The sequence below is a fragment of the Homo sapiens genome, chromosome 10 (genome assembly GCF_000001405.40).
Source record: "Homo sapiens chromosome 10, GRCh38.p14 Primary Assembly".
Lineage (NCBI taxonomy): Eukaryota > Metazoa > Chordata > Mammalia > Primates > Hominidae > Homo > Homo sapiens.
Genome location: NC_000010.11, coordinates 35,136,674 through 35,159,932, shown reverse-complemented (window position 1 = coordinate 35,159,932; position 23,259 = coordinate 35,136,674). Strand labels below are relative to the sequence as shown.

General features: G+C 39.0%; 1 protein-coding gene and 1 pseudogene across 53 annotated transcripts in view, besides 3 other annotated features; both read right to left on the bottom strand.

Moving 5' to 3' along the window:
• Positions 1 to 23,259, bottom strand: part of CREM (cAMP responsive element modulator) — an 86,113-nt gene that overhangs the window by 53,026 nt on the left and 9,828 nt on the right. For 18 of the 53 annotated variants that reach the window (NR_172139.1, XM_024447824.2, XM_047424625.1 and 15 more), the window contains exons 2-3: positions 22,054 to 22,151; positions 11,442 to 11,565 (exon numbers count right to left, since the gene is read on the bottom strand). The exons of 12 other annotated variants lie outside the window; for them this stretch is intronic. Coding sequence is in view for 29 of the 41 variants with exons in the window: in XM_024447824.2 (XP_024303592.1) it covers positions 11,442 to 11,565; positions 22,054 to 22,097 (168 nt within the window). In the remaining 12 variants the exon portion in view is untranslated. Of the gene's footprint in view, positions 1 to 7,552; positions 7,654 to 11,441; positions 11,566 to 22,053; positions 22,152 to 23,259 lie in introns of those variants that run through there. 23 more of the 53 variants (NM_001394598.1, NM_001394602.1, NM_001394600.1 and 20 more) reach the window with 5 other exon arrangements.
• On the bottom strand, positions 1,296 to 1,627 carry ATP6V1G1P4 (ATPase H+ transporting V1 subunit G1 pseudogene 4; annotated as a pseudogene).
• Positions 10,008 to 10,057: an enhancer, noted in NCBI's record as "active region_3263". NCBI's record gives its function as "activates an Ori minimal core promoter by ATAC-STARR-seq in GM12878 lymphoblastoid cells {active_cell/tissue: GM12878}" and the evidence as "EXISTENCE:reporter gene assay evidence [ECO:0000049][PMID:35858748]".
• Positions 10,478 to 10,537: an enhancer, noted in NCBI's record as "active region_3262". NCBI's record gives its function as "activates an Ori minimal core promoter by ATAC-STARR-seq in GM12878 lymphoblastoid cells {active_cell/tissue: GM12878}" and the evidence as "EXISTENCE:reporter gene assay evidence [ECO:0000049][PMID:35858748]".
• Positions 10,698 to 10,817: an enhancer, noted in NCBI's record as "active region_3261". NCBI's record gives its function as "activates an Ori minimal core promoter by ATAC-STARR-seq in GM12878 lymphoblastoid cells {active_cell/tissue: GM12878}" and the evidence as "EXISTENCE:reporter gene assay evidence [ECO:0000049][PMID:35858748]".

The window sequence follows — 23,259 nt, the reverse complement described above, 5'->3', positions numbered from 1 at the left end:
CTTCTTTTGAGAAAAATCTATTCGGGTCTTCTGCACATTTTTAGAAAATCAGGTTGTTTTCTTACTATTGAGTTGTTTGAGTCCTTCTGTGTTTCGGATATTAACCCCTTATCAGATGTATAGTTTGCAAATATTTTCTCCCATTCTGTAGGTCCCTTCTTCACCCTGTGGAATGTTTCCTTTGCTGTGGGGAAGCTTTATAGTTTGACGTAATACTGTTTGTCCATTTTTGCTTTTGTTGCCTGTGCTTTTAAGGTTGTATCAAAAAACTCATCGGCCAGACTAATGTCAAGGAGTTTCCTGTTTCCTTGTAGTAGTTTCATAGTTTTGGGTCTTATATTTAATCCATTTTCAAGAGTTGATTTTTGTTTATGGTGAGAGACAAGGGCCTAATTTCATTCTTCTGTGTAAATATCTAGTTTTCCCAACATCATTTATTAAAGAAATGGCCCTTTCCCCATTGTGTGGTCCTGCCATTTTTGTTGAATATAAGTTGGTGTAAGTAAATGCATGGTTTTATTTCTGGACTTTATATTCTGTTCCATTGATCAATGTATCTGTTTTCATGCTGGTACCATGCAGTTTTAATTACTATAGCTCTATAGTATATTTTGAAGTCAGGTAGTGTGATGCCTTCAGCTTTGTTCTTTTTTTTTTCCTGCATGACAAAGAGTCTTGACTTTCAAATGATTATCATACACCAAGTAATAAGATGTAACAAGTTCTTAAGTTCTATCATCTAGTAAACATGATTAAGAGAAACTAAAAGCAACCCAAACAACTATACCAATATTGTTGTTCTAATCATTAGCAGGAATAGATTAAGGCTGAATGTTGCTTCACATAGGTTACAAATAACTATTTACTACTTTTTCATAGATAAAGCCCTGATGAATTCAAGAATGCATTAGGGGGAAAAATTATTTAATCACTTTCTTTCTTCAAAAAAAATTGGTTTTGTTTAATTAGATCTAAGAAAGAAAATGTCAACACTGATATATATGTTGCTTGAACCAAAAGGCATATAAAAATAGACAACATATACCAATTAATTTTCTAAGAAACATGAAATCTTTAGATAAGTTCTAAGTCTGTAAAAAAAAAAAAAAAACAAACAAAACAACAAAAAAAAAACACTATATTTGCTACTCTCCAAAAAGTGGAGGGACCTATTATATAATATACAGAAATAATTTAATGCCTTAAGAATATAACTTGAGCTATGTTGAAGCTTCATATTCCATGAGAGCATCTAAAATGCCAATTCATAGAACAGGTGCTTTTTTCTTCTCCTACCCATTTATGCAGCAGTTTTCACAGATTTCTGGCCGGATGTTGCAGACAAAGGCCAAGAGGTTATTCAAGACTTCATCCTTGTTCTGCTGGAAGTAGGTCTGGAGGGTGATCATCTTTTCTCCTGGGCCTCCTTCTCCACTTCAGTGCTTCAGCTTCGTTCGCCTTGAACTCTTTTTACCCTCTGCAGGCGGCACTGTTCAATTTCAGCCTAAGCTACTTCTTTGGCCTGCTTCAGCCCCCGGTTCATCTGCCTGTGGGCCTTGGAAACCTTCTCAGCAGCCTGCTTCTCGGTCTGTAGCAGCTGCAGGATACCCTGCAATGGACTGGCCATGGCAGTGGTTCCAGCTTCATTCTTTTGGTTCAATATTCCTTTCGCTATTTGGGGTCTTTTGTGGTCCTGTATAAATTTGGGGATTGTTTTTCCCTATTTTTGTGAAGAATGTCATTGATATTTCTGATAGGGATTGCACTAAATCTGTAGACCGCTTTGGGTAGTATGGACATTTTAACAATACTAATTCTTCCAATCCATGAACATTTACTTGTGTCTCCTTCAATTTCTCTCATCAATGTTTTTTATAGTTTTCAATGTACAGATATTTCACCTCCTTGCTTAAATTTATTTCTAAGTATTTTTTTCATAGCTATTGTAAATAGAGTTTTCTTGATATTTTTTCCAGGTAGTTCACTATTAGTACATAAAAACAATACTGGTTTTTATAAGTTGATTTCATATCCTGCAACTTCAGTGAATTCATGTATTAGATCTAACAGGTTTTTCTGGTGGCATCTTTAAGGTTTTCTAATTTTTGTTCCTTTTTTTAAAGGTTTTCATATGTAAGATCATGTCATCTATGAACAGGGAAAAGTTGACTTCTTCCTTTCCAATTCAGTTGCCTTTTCTTTCTTTTGCCTAATTGCTCTGGCTAGGACTTTGAGTACAATGCTAAATAGAAGTGGCAAAAATGGGCATCTGTGACTTTTTTTTTTTTTTTTTTTTTGAGACAGGGTCTGGCTCTGCAACCTGGGCTGGAGTGCAGGGGCATGATCTTGGCTCATTGCAACCTGTGCCTCCCAGCCTCAAGCCATCCTCCCACCTCAGCCTCCCAAGTAGCTGGGACTTACAGGTGTGTGCCACCATGCCCGGCTAATATTTGTATATTTTCTGGTAGAGACAGGCTTTCACCATGTTGCCCAGGCTGGTCTCTTAACTCTTGGGCTCCAGCGATCCGCCTGCCTCAACCTCCCAAAGTGCTGGGATTACAGGTGTGAGCCACCACACCTGGCCTGGTATCCTTATCTTATTCCAGATCTTAGAGAAAAAGCTTTCAACCTTTCCCCATTCAGCATGATGTTAGTTGTGGGTGTGTCATATACTGCCTTTGTTGCACTGAGGTACATCCCTTCTTTATGTAATTTGTTGAGAGTTTTTATAATAAGGAAATAATGAATTTTTCAAATGTTTTTTATGCATGTATTGAGATGATGATATGGTCTTTTTCCTTCATTCTGTTGATGTGATTTATCAGGTTTACTGATTTGCATATGTTGAAACATCCTTGCATCCCTGGGATGAATGGTACTTGATCACTGTTAATGATCTTTTTAATATGTTGTTGAATTTGGTTTGCTAGTATTTTGTTAAGGATTTTTGTACCTATGTTCATCAGGGATATTGACCTGTAGTTTTTGTTGTTGTTGTTGCATCTTTATATGCATTGTTTTAAAGGAAAATAGTTATTATCTGCCAAAATAGAGGTCTACTTCTGAATGAAACCTGTTTAAAGACATGTGTTTTTCCTGAACTATGTCTGTTTTCTTCATCTAACATTGTCTCTACCTAATACATTCATTACCATAACCAGGCTTTTCTCCCCTATACCTTTTAAGAAAACCACTACAGTTTTATCTCTGATAGGGCTACAAAAATCCACATTTGTGGAGAGCACTATGAAGATATCGTCACAACTATGCAATGAAGCAGAAATTTCCCAAAGCCTCTGTTTTCCAAATATAATTCTTAATAGTCTGGGATTTACAAGGGTTATAATAACAAACGATAAAATAAGGGAAAGAAAATAGTCTCTGGCTGAACATAGTGGCTCACACCTGTAATGCCAACATTTTGGGAGACTGAAGAGGGAGGATCACTTGAGGCCAGGAGTTCGAGACCAGCCTGAACAAGACAGTGAGACCCCATCTCTACAAAAAACTTACAAGTTAGCCAGGCATGGCAGTATGCACCTGTAGTTCTAGTTACTCCAGGAGACTGAGGCAGGAGTATCACTTGAGCCCAGGAGACTGAGGCTGCAGTGAGTCACGATCATATCACTGCACTCCAGCCTGGGTGACAGAGTGAGACTCTGTTTCTTAAAAAAAAAAAGAAAAGAAAAGAGGTGGCCGGGAACTGTGGCTCACGCCTGTAATCCTAGCACTTTGGGAGGCTGAGGTGGATGGATCACGAGGTCAGGAGATTGAGACCATCCTGGCTACCACAGTGAAACTCCATCTCTACTAAAAATACAAAAAATTAGCCAGGTGTGGTGGCGGGCGCCTGTAGTCTCTGCTACTAAGGAGGCTGAGGCAGGAGAATGGTGTGAACCCGGGAGGTGGACGTTGCAGTGAGCCGAGATCGCGCCACTGCACTCCAGCCTGGGCAACAGGGCAAGACTCTGTCTCAAAAAAAAAAAAGAAAGAAAGAAAGAAGAGGCCAGGCGCAGTGGCTCATGCCTGTAATCCCAGCACTTTGGGAGGCTGAGGCGGGTGGATCACAAGGTCAGGAGATCAAGATCATCCTGGCTAACACGGTGAAACCCCATCTCTACTAAAACTACAAAAACAATTAGCCAGGTGTGGTGGCACGCGCCTGTAGTCCCAGCTCTCGGGAACCTGAGGCAAGAGAATCACTTGAACCTGGGAGGTGGAGGTTGCAGTTAGCTGACATTGTGCCACTGCACTCCAGCCTAGGTGACAGAGCGAGACTCCCATCTCTACAAAAAAAAAAAGAAAAGAAAAGAAAAGAAAAGAATCCCTAAGTCTTACTCAAAAAAGAAACTATAAAATTAATGTTTCTTTTTTCAAATTTCAATGTCTAGCCTATTTTTTTTGTTATTCATTATCTTTTATTGTGGTAAAAGACACATAACATATTCACTGTTTAAGTGTAGTTTGTAGTGTTAAGTATATTCACATTATTGTTAATCAGATCTACAGAACTTTTTCATCTTGCAAATCTGAAACTCCATACCCATTAAAAAATGACTCCCCATTTTTCCGTCCTCTCAGCTTACTCTTTTACTAAAGAAAATCATACAGAAAAAGGCAAAAGGAGTAACTGTATTTATACTCAGTTATTTTTTCATTACTGCTAGTGACAAACTACCCATTAGTAAAACTAAGAAAGGGAACTTGAACATTTTCTACGAGTATCCAAACCTCATAATCATTACAAATTACAAAAAAATCTTTAACAGTCTCTCAAACACTAAAATAAATTTGTATGCATTTTTATTGTAATTATAAAACCAAAATTTTTCTGAAATTTGACTCTGATTGCTTTATACTTCCTGAAATTACCTCTGCAACATCAAAATTTATTTAAAGCAAAGTACTGTCACCTTTAATACACTACTGGGATGAAAACATAAAAGCGTATTCTAAAGCCAAAAACAAACTTTTAAAGAAATATACTAGCTATTATATACAAAATTATCAAAATATGAGTACAGATACATAACAAATTCTTGTTGAAGTTGAAAAAAGTTGGTTACTAATATTAACAGTTCACCAGTTACTTTTTATTATGGCCTCTGAACCTTGAATTACCTTCAATAATGAGTTACGGTTCAAAGCAGTGGGTTTTTCTGAATTGGATGACTAAGGAACATTTTATAATACAGATTTAGCATTTATTGAAAAAAATTACTCTCTTCCTTTTTCTTCCATCCTTTGTTCATTTTTATAGATAATTCTAACAGAATACAAATGTTCTGTGTAACAGATAAAATATGAACCATGAAAAACAGCCAGGGGAAAGAATACATAAAAATAAGGAGCAATAGTGAAAAAATCTACAGTAAAACAGAAACTTTTATTTCAAAATTTTAACAGGAACACTTTTCTCCTTCAGTAGGAGTCCCTCAGCTAAGGAAATTAATATACTGAAGCTAAAATACAAGATTCAATAAAACACTGACCTTAAACTAGATCTACTTAGCTGAAATTATATGAAATCAACCTAACATAATGCAGATCTCTTTAATATACAAATATGAGGTTGCTAACCTATTAACAAGAGAAAATGTTGCTTGAGGTCTTCTATTTGTTTGCTCATTTTTTGTTTGTTTTGTGATTGCCATCTACATCCTTCCTAGGCCTATGTGGGACCAAGAAGATTTTTGGCATAGCTGGGCAAAACAGAGAAATGCCATTCCAATTTTCCACCAGATTAAAAAAGAAAATTTACAACTCGCACATGACAACATTTCCAAGTATCCCTTGTTAAATCGTTCCTACTTCAATCCCCGATGGCATGCCAGGGCTGCTTTATTCCGAGGGACTCCTTACACATTGTGCACTTAGAATGGAAAAGATAAGAAAGGATAAGATATGAAGCCATCAGAAATTCAGAAGAGTCAGTCACTTTTGGCAAACATCATAGGGTTAACAGAGTTCAGCTTGATTAGGAGAGTATAATCTCTGAACAACATTCCCTAGCGGCTTTCTCTGCCTCCCTAGTGTCTCCTTGTTTCCAAAAATACAGAGGTCCTTGGAGAGGTTAAGTGTTATATCAGAACTAATTCTCTCGAGGCAGTTTGCTGACCTTGACAATCTCCAGAGTTTCCTTCCCCCCTTTTGACTCCTAGCATACTGCTCCTTTCATCTTTCCCTTCTATCTTTGCTGAAACCTTGAGAAGTAGTCATTTATAAAGAAGAGTTATTTAGCTTTCAGAGTCGAGGCCTCCAGGCTTCAGCAGCAGCTATGGAGAATTATACTTCAGAAAGTCAGTTTTAAGGTACATCCTTTCCACTGGCTCCATCTGAATGACCTTACCCACCTAGGTCTTCATGGCAGTGTTACCAATTCCCAAGAGTCTAGGAACAAGAAAAGTTCAAGGTGTCCACTCTACTGCCTTCAGAGTAGATCATACATTTGTGAAATGAATATGGATTGCATATTAATTATACTTAACTAGGTATAATGACATTTTGTTATATAAGAAAATGTCCATAATGTTTTAAGAGTTGTATACCCAGAAGTAAGTAGGAGTAAAATGACATGATGTCTGAGATCTGCTGAGCAGCTTAAAATACTTCAGCGACAAGAAGAAAAAAAGAAGATAGATGAGGCAAGTGCTACAAAATCTTTTTTTTTAATTTTATTGAGACAAGGTCTCGCTATGTCGTCAGGCTGGAGTGCAGTGGTTATTCATAGGCATGATCACAGTGCACTACAGCCTTGAGCTCCTGGGCTCAAGCAATCCACTGGTCTCAGTCTCCCAAGTAGCTGGGACTACAAGGGCATGCCATCACACCTGGCAAAAATTTTTGTTGTATTAATTTATTTTTTATTAAAGAGACAAGCTCTCAAGCTGGTCTTGAACTCCTGGGCTCAGGCAATCCTCTTGCCTCAGCCTCCCAAAGTGCTGGGATTATAGGCATGAGCCACCATGCCTGGTCTAGCAAAATCTTAATAATTACTAACTTTATATATATGTGGAATCATTCTTCTACTCTTATGTATGTTTGAAGTCTTTCACAACAAAAGAAGTTTTAACTTCCCATTACCCATTTAAAAACAATATTATTTCCGGAGGATGTAAGTGTCACTATTTTAAAACTACTTGTATTGTACATACAATATTTTTGCTTTTCACCATTTTGATTTCTGGAAAAGATTTCCTCCTGGCCAGGTTATTTAAAATGGACTCTCCAACTTATTATCAACAGTTTTACCAGAATCCAGCGAGTCTAGTCCTGTATATCAACACACGTACTTAATAAATAAGATACCAGCTTCCATTAAAAATAAATCAGCATAAAAATAATTTAGGCAAGAAGAAAGCCAAGACAACATTTAACTTCCAGTTATTTGCCGTACTAGGATTTGTTGATGGCAACTCCTGCTTCCAACTTTTTGACATTACCACCACCGTGATTTTGTTTTCAAACAGAAGAGAAAGGCTCCATTTATTACTACAAAGTTATAAAACAGAAAAGCAAAACTCCAGTGTCCCCTGGTGTACCTGCACCTCACCTCAATCCATCAGCAGAACAGGGGCCTGACAGCCAAAACCAAGCTCAACAGTTGCTAGGTCTCTGATGATTTTCATAGTATATTCTTGATTAGCAGAAGCTCTGGAAAGGCCAGGACAATCAAAACAACCAGTATCAAATGACCTTAGATGCAAAGAATCAAACCCACTGAACGTTCTGCTTACGCCTTTTGTTCCCACACTGTTTACTGATAATCTGATCATATAAACAAGGAAGGTGAGTGTCAGAAATTCCTCTTTATTCACAACTAAGTTTAAATCTAAAACATATGGAAATTTACAATCCTCAAGTCTGAAGAAAAATGAGACAAGTGGCAAGTAAATATGAAGCCATCAGAAATTCAGAAGAGTCAGTCACTTTTGGCATACATCATAGGGTTAATAGAGTTCAGCTTGATTTCCTACTCCTTGTAAGACATATACTATTGTATGATAGTAACAATACTCATAAACGAACAGCTGCTGGTGTCACAAGAACTTTAATGAGTAATTATGTTCAGAAAATTCTGACTGCTAAGAATTGTCTTCTAATTCTTCAAAAAATCATGATCCATGCATGGCATGGAGGATAATTCTTAGTTAACTAAAATAATCCATAAGTCGGCATACAGATTACTTCTTAATCTCTATATTTCTAGCATGTGAAAGATAAAAACCATAGTTTCAGTTTGATCAAATACTTCAAACAGGCCAGGTGCAGTGGCTCACACCAGTAATCCCAGCACTTCAGGAGATCAAAGCAGGTGGACTGCTTGAGGTCAGGAGTTCAAAACCAGCCTGGCCAACATGGCATAACCCTCTCTACTAAAAACACAAAAATCAGTTGGGCGTGGTGGCACATGCCTGTAATCCCAGCTACTCGGGAGGCTGAGGCATAATAATCATTGGAACCCGGGAGGTGGAGGATGCAGTGAGCAGAGGTTGCAGTGAGCCGAGATTGCACCACTGCATTCCAGCTTGGGTGACATAGTGAGACTCTGTCTCAAAAAAACAAAACGAAACAAAACAAAAACAACAACAAAAAAATACTTCTAACAATATAAAATAGAAAAACAGCAAAACTCCAAGAATTTACTATCCAGATTTAATAACTATCAATATTTATTAGCATACAACATTATTTGAGATTTTTAAAGAAGCATTACAAACGTAAACACAGGCTTTTTCTAGTTCCTTGATTCTGCCTTCTCACAAGTCTCTATAATGTTCCATTTTATTCAAAACATTCCCAAATTTCTCACATCCCAGTTCTCACCCCTTTGTTTCACAAACCCATCTTTCTCTATTAGTTCAAGACAAATTTCTTAAAAGAGTCTATACTTCCAACTTCCACTTCCCCTCCTCTTACTTATTCTATAACCTACTAAAACCTAGTTTCTGTCCACTGGTCTCCTATTCAATTCCAAGCCCTCAGAAACCTAAGACTACTTTTCAGACTCCACATTACTTAACCTGTTGGCAACACTTTCAAGCCCTCAGAAACCTAAGACTACTTTTCAGACTCCACATTACTTAACCTGTTGGCAACACTTTTTTTTTTTGAGACAGGGTCTCACTCTGTCACCCAGGCCGGAGTGAAGTGGCTCCAACTTGGCTCACTGCAACCTCAGCCTCCTGGGTTCAAGTGATTCTCGTGCCTCAGCCTCCCGAGCAGCTGCGACTACAGGCGTGTGCCACCATAACCACCTAGTTTTGTATTTTTAGTAGAGACAGGGTTTCTTCATGTTGGCCAGGCTGGTCTCGGACTCCTGGCCTCAAGCGATCCACCTGCTTTGGCCTCCCAAAGTACTGGGATTACAGATATGAGCCACTGCACCTGGCCACCTGTTGGCAATTTCTGAGTGAGGCTCACAGAGGTGGCTGTCGCCCAGCCTGAAGGTCCTCAGAATTGCAAATTACCATATTTAGATAATGGAAATCTATTGCTGGGACTTCAGCCCCAGAATTCTGGGGCAAAAGGCATCTGTAGAACTTAGTGAGCCGGGACCCACCTAGAAGGAAGTAGAGTCAGAAGGAAGAAAATGTACTTTCAGGCTGGGTACAAGAAGCTCACACCTGTAATTCCAGCACTTTGGGAAGCTGAGGTGCAAGGACTGCTTCAGCACAGGAGTTTGAGACCAGCCTGGGCAATATAGTGAGAACTTGTCTCTACCAAAAAAAAAAGAAAGTGCTTTCAACTACAACTTCAGCAAAGGGCAGAATTACTGACCAGAAACCATAGCTCTAAAGATTCTGGAAAATCCCAAAATCATGAGAAAAAGTATATGCTTTCTATTCTATTCACACAGACAAAAAGACTAAAGGAGCTACACCAAAATGTTAACAATGATTAAATCTCTGGATGTTAAGATTATGGATAGTTTTTATATTCTTCATTTTAATATTTATTTTCTACAATGAACATGCATTTTTTTTAACAAGGGTGTGTGTGTGTGTGTGTGTGTGTGTGTGTGTGTGTGTGTGTGTGTGTGTTTAAGCAAAAGGCCTGGCCTAACCTAAATGCCTGTCTCTCAGTGTAACAAAAGGTGTTGCTAGGGAGATACAGCTCTACAGAATACCGCAGAAAACCTGCAGGGAACGAGTGGGTGTTGGCAGCTTTAAAGAGGAAAGAAAAGCAGGCTGGGTGCACAGGAAAGGAGAGCTCTCACACCAGTCTGGCCTAATATAACCCAAGAAGTGCCTGGTGTTTCCCCTGGGCCTTCCAGTCAACCACCAGGTCCTTTTTATTCTCCCTTTAATGTACCACAAAGGTCTCACCACTGCTCTGTATCTCACGCTACTTTGACTCCACCAGGCACCCTGATGGTGTCTTCAGTTCCGACTCACTGACTTTCAATTCCACCTCCACATGGCTACTAGTGTCAAAACTGAAAATACGGTGGGCACCTGAAAATATTTCAATACTATTTAGAGTACAGTGTACTCTAAACCCTGAAATGTATACGATCCTCTACTTACCTTTACCAGCTGGACTGCCCAGCCCAGACACCTGGCTCCAGTTAAACTCAATACCCATAGTTCCCTGAACATCCCATGCTCTGGCTCTGTGCCTCTGTGCACACTCTTCGCTCTGCCTAGAATATGCTTCCTCACCTTATCAACCTGGCAGACTCCTACTCATCCTTTGTGCCTAGCTCAAAGGAGATATATAAAGCACTCCTAGTCAGCTGGCTGCTCCCTCTTCTGTAGGCCTTATTCATTTTCTACATAGTATCTTACAGCACTTCTTACCCTACTGGAATTATTGCTAAAATATCTGTCTACCCTACCAAACCATGGGATATTTAAGTCCTGAAACTACATATCCACATGCATCCGGAATAATTAGACACAGCAGACATTCAATAAATATTTGATGAACTAACAAATGTGTTTATTTTTACTATATTTTTAATAGATATCTCAGAAATAAATTTTAGGATCTAGAAACAGGTACTAACTGATACTGGTGACCTCTGAATGAAACCAATTCAAAGTTCGAGACCTAACTGAAAAGAAAGTAATGATTAAGACAAATATATACGGGGAAAATGGTAAGATTTCTGTCATCTTAACAGCTAAGGACATCAGAACTGTATCAATTTCGAATTAGCAACCCTCTCAAATCATACTTTGAGGATTACATATTCAGGAAGGGTTTTTGTTTTTCCTTCCATAGTGGTGGTGGCAATGGAGATGGGGCACTGCTGAATGTCTGTTAAAATGCAAGGCTAATTACAACACGTATCTTTTCTTCACAATCAAATAAGCAAGAATGGCTGATAACCAGGGAACATGGAAAATTTAAGATCAATGGCAAGAAAACAGAATCTGCACCTAATTCTCATTTCCATATATTTTGACTTTCAACGGTGCCTGCCTATTGCCTACCTGAGCTAAAGCAGGGATTGAATTTTGGCCAGTCTGAGTCTGCACATGAGCAGACTTGCTCTCTGTCAAAGAAGCTGTTATACTTCCATCATGCTGGGATTCAACTGTTTCCATGGTCATTTGTCTGAAAAGACAATAAAAAGGAAGACAAATTAAGGCCCTATCTTAAGTATTTGGAAATACAGGTTGAACATCCCTAATCCAAAAATCCAAAATCTGAAATGCTCCAAAATCTGAAACTTTCTGAGCATTTACATGATGCCACAAAAGGAAAATTCCACATGTGACCTCATGCTATGGCTCAAAACTTTGTATCCTGTACAAAATCATTAAAAATATTGTATAAAATTACCTTTAGACTATAAGGTGTATATGAAACATAAATGAATCTCGTGTCTAGACCTGGCTCTCATCCCCAAGGTAACTCATATGTATATGCGAATATTCTAAAATCCAAAAAATTCCAAATTCTGAAACAATTCTGGTCCCAAGCATTTCAGATAAGGGATACTCAACCTGTACTGTTTTTACCTAGCTTTCTAATAATCATTTCTGACATCCAATTGTACTATCTGGTTTTTGTTTTCTTCAAGAAACAGGTTCAATAGTAGAGTCCTAACTCTCTCATCTTTTCTTTTCTGCTCACTGAATATGAACATTACCAAGGGAGCACTGCAAAATGTCTCATGAAAACTACCTTATTTTAAAACGTATAAAGTCTTCCTGATCATTACTTTAACCCTGCTGTTTAGCATGAATGGCTGGAAAATTAGGTTTTCTATTTTACATGAAAAGTATAAATATTCTATGATTCTTAAGGCCTAATAAACCTGCTTTATGTTATGAGGTAGTGTGAAGGAATTTCCCCATCGTCTAAATTAAATGTATAATAATACAAAAATGTGTCTTGCTTTGTTATCACTAAGTCGTTTCTGATAAACAAGCCCCAATTATTGAAAAAAGAGGACCTAATTTTTCCAGGAAAAACTTCTGATGTGATTTGAAGTTTGTGTATGAATTCAGTTTAAGTTAGTGATTTCTATATGGACTCTTTTTAGAAGGCAAACTATATTATAATAAATTTTATCCTGTTAAAATATAAACAAAATAAACAAAACTAAAATTTAAAAACCTATAGAGGCCGGGCACGGTGGCTCACGTCTGTAATCCCAGCACTTTGGGAGGCTGAGGCGGGCGGATCACCAGGTCAGGAGATCGAGACCATCCTGGCTAACACGGTGAAACCCCGTCTCTACTAAAAATACGAAAAATTAGCCGGGCGCCACCGTGGTAGGCGCCTGTAGTCCCAGCTACTCGGGAGGCTGAGGCAGGAGAATGGCGTGAACCCAGGAGGCAGAGCTTGCAGTGAGCCGAGATTGCGCCAGTGGACTCCAGCCTGGGCGACAGAGCGAGACTCCGTCTTAAAAAAAAAAAAAAAAAAAAAAAAAAACCCAAAAAACTTATAGAAACTACTCCCTGCTGTTACACATCTTTTCAGCTGTCAATAATACAATGTTTCTTTTTCACCTTAGTCTAACTATACATCCAAAAAGTATATAGACCACTTAGATCTTTGAATTAAAACATCCAAGTTGTTTTTCCAGATTTAATTAGTTACCAGATTCTACAGATCCTTCATCTACTGTCTTTGACTTCCTACTGCCTTTTGCATTCCAGTAGCCGTTACCCAAATCCAATCCTTCCATGCTCAAACCTGTCTGCTATCATCTATACTACAGTTATTTTAATACTTATAACTGACCAGGACAATTTAGAGCAATTATACCAAAATACAAACGTCGAGCCTACCATAGAAAAATGTCTTTCCCTTAATATTGCCTAATCCTTTATCTCTTTTCTTATAACTTCCCAGAGTGGCCTCTCCAATTCTAGGTAATTATAGGTCATCATCACACATGAAGTGTTAATTCCTACTGTTATACTTTTGGTTATGTGAGCAGTTTCCAAAGAAAATACCTCAGGACATTAGTTCTGCAGGTTCTAAAAAGGCATTATCTGGGGAAAAAGGGTAGGGAAAATGCTTTGTCAAAACGTTTTAAAGATTAAAAGGGTTTCTTTCCCACAGAACATCTCAAAAGCTTCAATCTGCTAGTGTGTCTTGAGAAGGGTGAAGGGCACAGGTCCAACAGACAGCATTTTCTAAAAGTATCTGACTACCAAACAAACCCTTTTCCCACAAAGCATGCCCTAGCAGGAGTATTTTGGAAACCACCTGGGAAATGTTGTCTTGTGCTATTTTTTACACCTTTGAAAGGCAAAACCTTTCTTAAGATTCTGCAACAACTTGGGTCTCAACTCAAAAATTATATGCCGAAAGGCCTTCCCCAGTAAACTATATTTCATTCTAGAAACATTCATTTAGCATAGTCTACATGGCAGGCCCTGAAAATACAAAAGCAGATAAGTCATGGCCCTTGCCCTGATGGAATCCATTAACTACATGGTTGTTGGTTTCTCAAATTATGGTCCTTGGACAACTCGCATCAGAATTAACGAGAAGTATTTGTTGTAAAAAATGCAGAAGCTTAGGCTCAACCCCAAACCTAGTGAATCAAACTTTCTTGAGAATTTAACTTCTTATATGCAAACAATTCCAATATGTACTAAAATTTGAGAAACACAGTTTATTGGCAGGTCAGTAATTAAAGTAAATCACAAGTAAAGTAATTTCTTTTTTTTTTTTTTTTTTTTTTTGAGGCAGAGTCTCACTCTGTCAACCCAGGCTGGAGTGCAGAGGCATCTCGGCTCACTGCAACCTCTGCCTCCCAGGTTCCAGCAGTTCTCTGGCCTTAGCCTCCCACGTAGCTGGGATTACTGACGCATGCCCCCATGCCCAGCTATTTTGTATTTTTAGAAGAGACGGGGTTTCGCCATGTTGGCCACGCTGGTCTTCAACTCCTGACCTCAGGTGATCTGCCTGCCTTGGCCTCCCAAAGTGCTGGGATTACTAGGCGTGAGCCATTGCAACTGGCCGTAATTTCTTGAATCATGTGATATATGTGATCCATGAAATGCTCTGGAAAACATAAGAGAATGACCAAGTCTGCCAGAGAATGTGGTCATATGAGTCGTATATTGAAGGGTGAGTAGGATTTCACCAGGTAGAAAGGACAGGTCGACTATGAGAGGGAGGAAAGTACAGAGGATATCTGGGAAACAGAATAGGTGATTGGAGTAGAAAATCTGGGTGAGGGAAAGGGGGATAATTAGATTTAGTGGGGAAGAGACAGAGTAGGACTGGTACAAATAGGGCTGGAAAGGCTGCATGGAATTAAATTAGGAATAATACCTTTTTTTTTTTTTTTTTTTTGAGACAGTGTCTTGCTCTGTCACCCAGGCTGGAGTGCAGTGGCGCGATCTGGACTCACTGCAACCTCCGCCTCCTGGGTTCAAGCGATTCTCCCGCCTCAGCCTCTCAAGTATCTGGGATTACAGGCACGCGCCACCACACCCGGCTAATTTTTTTTATTTTTAGTAGACACGGGGTTTAACCATGTTGGCCAGGCTGGTCTCCAACTCCTGGCCTCAAGTGATCAGCCCGCTTCAGTCTCCCAAAGTGCTAGGATTACAGGCATGGCCACCATGCCCAGCCTGGAAGTTACAACTCAATAACTGATATTTATAATAACTATCCTGAGTCATGAAAAAAAGGCTAATTATGTTCAGTATACTTTAAGGACAGAGGGGTACACACTGTAGAATCCAAGAAGTCTCCCATCAAAAAAAAAAAAAGTTTTAATGATTAAAAAGATAAACTATTCAGGCCTCAATTTTTGAGATATGATAAAAGACAGATTTCAAAATGTTTTATACATGAAAATGTCTTGATAACGTACCATCTCATGCAATCATCTTAACTGGTCCATTTTTCTCTGGGGGCATTTCCCAGAGAGTTCAGTCCTTTGCCCTTTTCCCTTTGTCAATACTACAGAATTTTCCAATACTATGAATACTATGGTTTCTTCAATCCTATATGCAGATGGCTCCCAAATCTGTATTTACACACACCTCCCTCCTACTGAGCATCTCAACCTGGGGTTTTCATGGACACCTGACCCCTCTCTTTTATTTCTTCTTTTAGTCAAGAGTATCATCATCCATTCAGGCTCCAAAGCTAGAATCGTGTGTCTATATATAATCAGTCAGAATGAGATCAACCACAAAAAGCAACCCCACAAAGCTAAACATCAGTCAGGATACCATGAGGCGTTGAGCCTTAGGGAGAAAGGCAGAGATGGAAGGTCAGCAGCCATCCCAACTCCTCCTCCTTACCATAATTTAGCACTGGGCACTGTCCACTGTAACCTCCCATCACCACACTGGACAAAGCAGTTGAGCTGCTGTTCCACACAGTTGCTGCTATCCACTCTGAAGACAATAAATCACAGACAATGGGCCTTTTCCTAAGCCACAACTAAACTTCAATGCCCCTGCACCCATGCCAGAATCACACTCAAATCACTAAGATATAAGCTCCTTCCATATTTCATCTTCACTCTCATAACTAGTGCTTCCTTTCCCTCCATAATACAATCCCTCACTCCTGTTCTCCTTCCAAATTCCAGCAATATGCTATCTGGAACTCCCAAAGCCTCTCTGCTGTCCTCTCAAGAGAGTACTGCTCATCTTCCCACACCCAATCAAGGTCAGCATGTTGACTGGCCATCTGCTTTGTTCCCCACTGTTGCTTCCCACCTGTACCTCCTTTACTCCCTCGTAAAAACCCTTGTTCAACTGAGGCTCAAGGTCATCAGGTGTACCATCCTGAACCCATCCATAAGATAATCATCTACTCACCTCCAGGATGTAAACTGAAGACTCTGGCCCCTGATGTAAAAGCTTTCCTCTTCACCATTCTGTCTATGTTCAACACTCAAAAGAAGACCTATCCCTTACCCAGATGCCTCAGATCAATGACTTACTTTATGCCACTTCAGCTATCTACTGGAGTGTCTGGCCACACCCTGGACATTGCCAATGTGCAAATTGGTCCAGCTCTGAAAAAATTAATTCCAACATTCCACTCTGCCTACAACATCCTATCCTCCCATCTTACCCTCTCCCTTGACCACTCCCATCACACTTGTTATTCCAACACACTGAGATCTCCACACCACTTTCTCTCTGCCCATCTGCCTCCCCCTTTCTTCACTTCCCACCCTATTCAGCTAACATGGCTTCTCATTTTAATTACTGTTTCCCAGCCCGGCACGGTGGCTCACGTCTGTAATCCCAGCACTTTGGGAGGCCAAGGCAGGCAGATCACGAGGTCAAGAGTTAAAGACCAGCCTGGCCAACATGGTGAAACCCCGTCTCTACTAAAAATACAAAAATTAGCCAGGTGTGGTGGCAGGCGCCTGTAATCCCAGCTACTTGGGAGGTGGAGGCAGGAGAATTGCTTGAACCTGGGAGTTGGAGGTTGCAGTAAGCCAAGATTGTGCCATTGCTGTATATTCTTAGTAAGTACCAATCTTGGATAAAACCAACTCTTCATCTCCTCTATGCCTGCACCAAGGCAGATGAACAATACTGAATGAAATTATAAGACAGAATAAGCTATTGAGGCCAAGCACAGGGGCTCACGCCTGTAATCCCAACACTCTGGGGGGCCAAGGCAGAAGGATCACATGAGCCTAGGAGTTTGAGACCAGACTGGGCAACATAGTGAGACCCCGTCTCCACATAGAAAACAAAAAAGTTAGCTGGGCGTAGTGATGGGCACCTGTAGTCCCAGCTACTCAGGAGGGTGAGATGGAAGGATCACTTGAGCTCAGGAGGTCAAGACTGCAGTGCGCCATAATCGTGCCACTGCACTCCAGCCTGGGTGACAGAGCAAGACCCCATCTCTAAAAATATAAATATAGCTATTAAATTCTTGGTTTTCAACCTCAAATGGGCGGCAAACTGATGGAGTTTGCCTCCTTGGCTTACTACTCTCCCATTCTCAACAACTGTTTCAAATGTTCTCCCTCTTCTCAATCCCTGCGTTTCTATACTGACTGCATTCAATGAAAGCCCTTGCCTCCTGTCTCTAATGAGAACTCCATCAACTTCCCACAACCAAATCAACAAAGCTATTGACATCTACACTCACCATGTTCCCTTGCCTCCTGCCTCCTCCCTACTCTTAAAATACCTGTATCTGTTGTTTGGAGCCCATGCCCCAGGGGATTATACTATCAATTATTCTCTCCCCCTCTAACAGTTTTTTCCTGTAAAGACTTAAACACATTCACGTCTCTCCCATCTCACAACTTATACACATAGCCACAAATCCACTGGATCAGAAATCTCTCGAGCTATTCCCTTGAACCTCTCTTCCCCTTCTCACTGCTGAAATATTTGAAAGAATTGCCAACACTACTATCTCCGTTACTTCACATCCCACATACTCCTAGATACCCCCAAGTTTAGAGAGGTTTCTACCTCTAAAACGTCTCTAGAAATGGTAACTAATCTCTGTCACTAAATCCAACGTACATTTTAAGTCCTACCTTTTGTTTGATCCCTCAGCAGCATTCAAACCGTTGACAACATCTTCCTTCTTGAACACTGTCTCAGCGTTCTGATACTACATTTTCCTCTTCTCATCTGATTCGCTGACAATTCCTCCACAAGCTCCCCTGACAATTCCTTCTCTTCCTCAATGTTAATCTTCAACATGGCATGTCTTCGGGACTCTGCTTAGCTTTCTTGCCTCACTCTCAAATCTCTCCCTACTTCATATGGTCTGTTTCTCTGGATTCAAGTGCCAGATTTAAACCCATGACTCTAGGCCAGACGTCTCTTCTCAATTCCAAAATCCAATATGCAAATCCCTGTTTAACATCTCCAAACACATGTCCTGCAGGAACCTCAAAATCAGTGGGTCCAGAACTAAACTCCTCTTCTTCCTCCACAAACTTTCTACCCGAGTTCCCTATCTCAGGAAATGGGACCCCATCATCCAACGAGTTGTTCAAGCCAGAAACCCCTGAAACTCCCTCTCTGTCATTCCACACAGCATCATCACCAGGTATGATGATTCTACCTTCTAAAGAACAATTAAGTCTCCTTCTCTACCTTTCCACAGCCACCACTCTAACTCCTGGCTCCAATCCATGCCAATAGTTATGTTTCTAAAACATGTATTTCTGCTTAAAATACTTCTTTGCTTAAAACTCTTCAGTAGCTTCCTATTGACTACAGGATAAAATCCAAACTTCTAATTCTCATAACTATAACCATCATTTATTGAGAGTTTACCATGTGGTAAGTGCCTGGTAGTTTTGATTAACAACTCTATAAGATCACTATCATCAGTTCTTCCAGCCTGGGCAACAGAGTGAGACTGTCTCAAAAAATAAAAAATAATTAGTTCTTCTTTTAGAAATAAGGAAAAGGAGACTCAGGGAGGTTAAGAATTTGATCTTACCATGAACGTATTAAGTGGCATAGCCAGGTTTTCAACCAAGGTCTTTTTCCAAAGTCCATACACTCCATTACTAAACCACACTGCCATTCAATCTCTTTCACAATGTGACCCATTTTAGTCCTACAGCCTTATCTCCAGTCCCTCTACTCTTTCCAACACGCTGCATGCCAGCCTCCTAATCAGACATTTTTTCAAGTACATATCTTACTCTCCCAGTTTTAATCTTTTACATCTAATCTCCCCTCTTCCTGAAATGCCCTTTACCCTTCTTTGTCCAACTGGCAAATTCTCACTAGTCTGTCAAGGCCTGGTTCGAGGACACCAACTTTCAAAGGCCTATTCTAATAGCCATGGGCAGAATTAGTTATTCTCTTTTGAGTTCCCAAAGCATTTACAAGTCTGTTATAACACTTGTGTAGCATATAATACATGTATTCACACACCAGCGTGAGCAACTCAGGGACAGGGATCCCATCTTATAGATTTCCATGCATTCCCAGTGCCTAGTACAGTATATGCTAAATAAACCAATTAATCAATTATCCTGGAAGACTGTGCAACTGTCAGGTGTTATTATAATAATAAAAATAACGTTCAGAGAGATTAAGGGACTTTTACAGGGAACATAATAGGTAGCATGATGAGGGATGAAAAAGAGGTGTTGTGACTGTGACTCCAGGGTTCCTTCCACAGCCAGTGCCCTGCGAATTACAGTTTGGACAACATTTTACGATGATGATGTGTTTTGGAGTATGCTGCAATTGTTGTCGCAATCTCACTCAGATATGCTTTCTCTTTCATACCAAATGTATGGACTGTAATTTTATTCCATTTGTATTCTGCCAGAGTACCTAGCACGGTGTTCAGTTCATGCCGTTTAGTACAAGTTTGATACTAAAATTATTTTTTTGAAGGTAAAAATCATCTACAAAAAAGGTCAACACTAGCAATTTAAAATAGATATGCTATTTCAAGCCAGTTTATTCTGCAGATTTATATCCAAATCTGCAGATTTATGCCCTCCAGTACAACCTCCTAAACCCACTAAAACCCAACTCCTATACAGGACTCAGTGCAGAAGATTCAACTAACATTTCAGTGCTCAACATGGGTCAAGCACTGTACCAGGCATTTTTCAGGCACTATCTCAGCAGAAATGCAGGACCCCAAACTCAGCTGTAAATGATGTACATACAACATTAACATCTATAAATCAGCCACAGCTGCTCCAGATAGAATTTATAGAGTCCATTATAATCTTACATTATTCACTATATAATTTATAGCTAAATACATTAAAATTGAAGAGATGTCTCATAGAACATATTTTCCCAAATCTCACCTTCTGTATTAAACATAGTTGTGATAATATTAAATAAACATAGTTGTACTAAAACTAATAGTCTTTAATTAACTATGTAGTATTTTAATCTTAAACAATAATCCTTTTTAGAGAGAAAAGAACCAATGGGCAATTATGAATTACAAAATAATTAAAAATAAAAACATGTAAGGATAAAACAATAAAAACGAAAACAAACAAGTCCACTAAGCACTATAAATTAACAACAAGCAAAATACTGGCAAATATTTGGTTCCACAATTCTAAAAAACAGGTAAAAATTTGCTAAAATGGTGGCTGGGCATGGTGGCTCATGCCTGTAATCCCAGCACTTTGGGAGGGCTAGGCAGGTGGATCACCTGAGGTCAGGAGTTTGAGGCCAGCTTGGTCAATATGGTGAAACTCCATCTCTACTAATAATACAAAAATTAGCTGGGTGTGGCGGCACGCACCTATAATCCCAGCTACTCGGAGGCTGAGGCACAAGAATCACTTGAACCTTGGAGACAGAGGTTGCAGTGAGCCAAGATTGTGCCACTACAATCCAGCCTGGACACAGTGACACTGTGTCTCAAAAAAAAAAAAAATTGCTAAAATGGAGATATTTAAATTTACAAACAACTAATAATAGCAGGATTATTTTCTTTTGAAGTTAAATATTTCTCTGAAATCTCCTTTATATTATTTAGCAAACTTTGATAGAAAAGCAAATATTATCCCAACCTGTTTTGAATATACTGGGATCCAAATTAATAAAATATTAATATATCTATTGTTTTTTTAAAAAATAGGACCCTCCATTAAAACAATTTTTTTTCTAAGAGACAGGATCTTGCTATGTTACCCAGGCTGGTCTTCTTCCCTTTTCTCTTTTTTTTTCCCCAGGCTGGTCTTTAACACCTGGCCTCAAGCAATTCTCCTACCTTGGCCTCTCAAAGTGCTGGGATTACAGATTAAGCCACTGCACCCGGCCTAAAAAAAATTTTTTTTAGTAATAAATTGTTTTAATATAAAATTAAAAAAATTAGCCGGGTATGGTGGCACCCTGTAATCCCAGCTACTCAGGTGGCTGAGGCAGGAGAATCCCTTGAACCTGGGAGGCAGAGGTTGCACTGAGCCAAGATTGTGCCATTGCACACCAGCCTGGGTAACAGTGAGACTCTGTCTCCAAAAAAAAAAAAAAAAAAATTCTAAAATTTTAGTTGTATCCAATTTTCAAAGACAAATTACATTGCAGAGGAAGTGCACTACCCTTGAAAAAATTTTTCATCTCTTCTAAAAATAGAATCCAATTGGAAAAGGAAGTTATTAAAGTTGTTTCTATTATTTTAAATAACTTTACAAAAAGTGGAAAATCAATTTTCTCTTTAGGACTACATCCAACTAACGAAACAGAATGTCTCTGAAAGTAATCAAAAGAAAACTTGAAAAATTCTATTTGGATATTTTTAAAACGTTGGTAGAGACTTTCTTCTGTTTTATAAGGTTAAGTACAAGTATGGCCGAAAGGCCGGGAGGAAGAATAAAACCCTGGGGATTCTTCGAATTCTACAATTCCACTTAACTATCGACATCCTCATATTGGTCTACTTTCTAAACGAAAAGACTAGTACTTAGCATAAGTCAACTGACATACCGACACATCTCCTACAGTGCCCAGCATGGTACACAGTAGATGGTGCCTTAAGTGAATGGCTGAATAATTTGAGTATATATTATAATAGAATATATATACATACATACATGTATGTGTACATCTATATATCAATTTATTCATCATGAACTTTAAGCTAAGTAGAATTTTCAAAAGAACAGAAAAACGTACATCTACCTACCTTGGATTTGTCTTAATATATTTTTTCCTTGCACATTTGCTCATTGTTAAGATATTTGTAATCAATGCTTTCCTCCTTTCCTGTTTTCTTTATTTATCCTGCAGTAAAATTATAATGTTGAATTGGGAGATCGTAACATTTCACTTCAAAAACTCTCAAATTAAATTTTATTTAAATTAAAACCTCTCAAAACAAGGCCAGGAAGAATATTCTAATTTCTATAAAACTAAAAATAAAAAATAACTCCCCCCCACCAAAAAAAACCAAAAGACTAGAAAGCTAAAAACAGCCCTGTACGGTTTTTTGTCAATCTTACTTCTACTGTATTTTTCTTATCTTCCTAGGGAAAAAAATTGACAAAACTTAAATGATAAACTATTTTTCTGATTATTTTCTACTGAAGAGAAAGCAGTGCTATCTAAATCATCTAATACTAAGTATAGCTCATAGGTATCAGCTCTATTTTTAAGAAGTTAATGATCACTTAATAAAATTAATGAATTTATTATTTCCTTATATTTCACTCCAATGCAAAAAAGTTTTCATTTACCTTAAATTCCAACTTGGGTTTTTGTTAAAAAATTAAACTCCAAACAAAATAAGTTTATTCAAAACGTCCTTCTGATAGCCTTCAATCCATTAAAAAACCTAGTTTAGACACTGTAGCAATTAAACTCTCTTTATTTTTTACTAATATCTTTAAAAATATATATTTGACATGTGGAAAGAAGTAAAACTGGCAAAGAAAAAGACAAAAGAACATTTGAGCCAGACATGGTGGCTCACACCTGTAATCCCAGCACTGCGGGAGGCTGAGGTAGCAGGTTTGCTTGAATCCAGGAGTTTGAGACAAGCCTTGGCAACACAGTGAGACCTTGTCTCTACAAGAAAACTGACCAGGTATGGTGGCACAGGCCTGGACTCCCAGCTACTCAGGAGGCTGAGGTGGGAGAATCACTTGAGCGCGGAAAGTTGAGGCTGCAATGGGCCATGTTTGCACCTCTGTACTCCAGCCTAGGTGACAGAGCAAGACCATTCACAGACCTAAACTCTTTTGAGACAGAGTCCCAAAAAAAAAAAAAAAAAAAACTGAGAGTCCTTAATTTCTTTTAGAGCTGGAGAAAACAATCGTGCTCATCCCTAAGTAACCTCTAGATACCTCTGCCAGCAACAGCAGTGCTTAGACAGACACATTGCTTTCAGAGT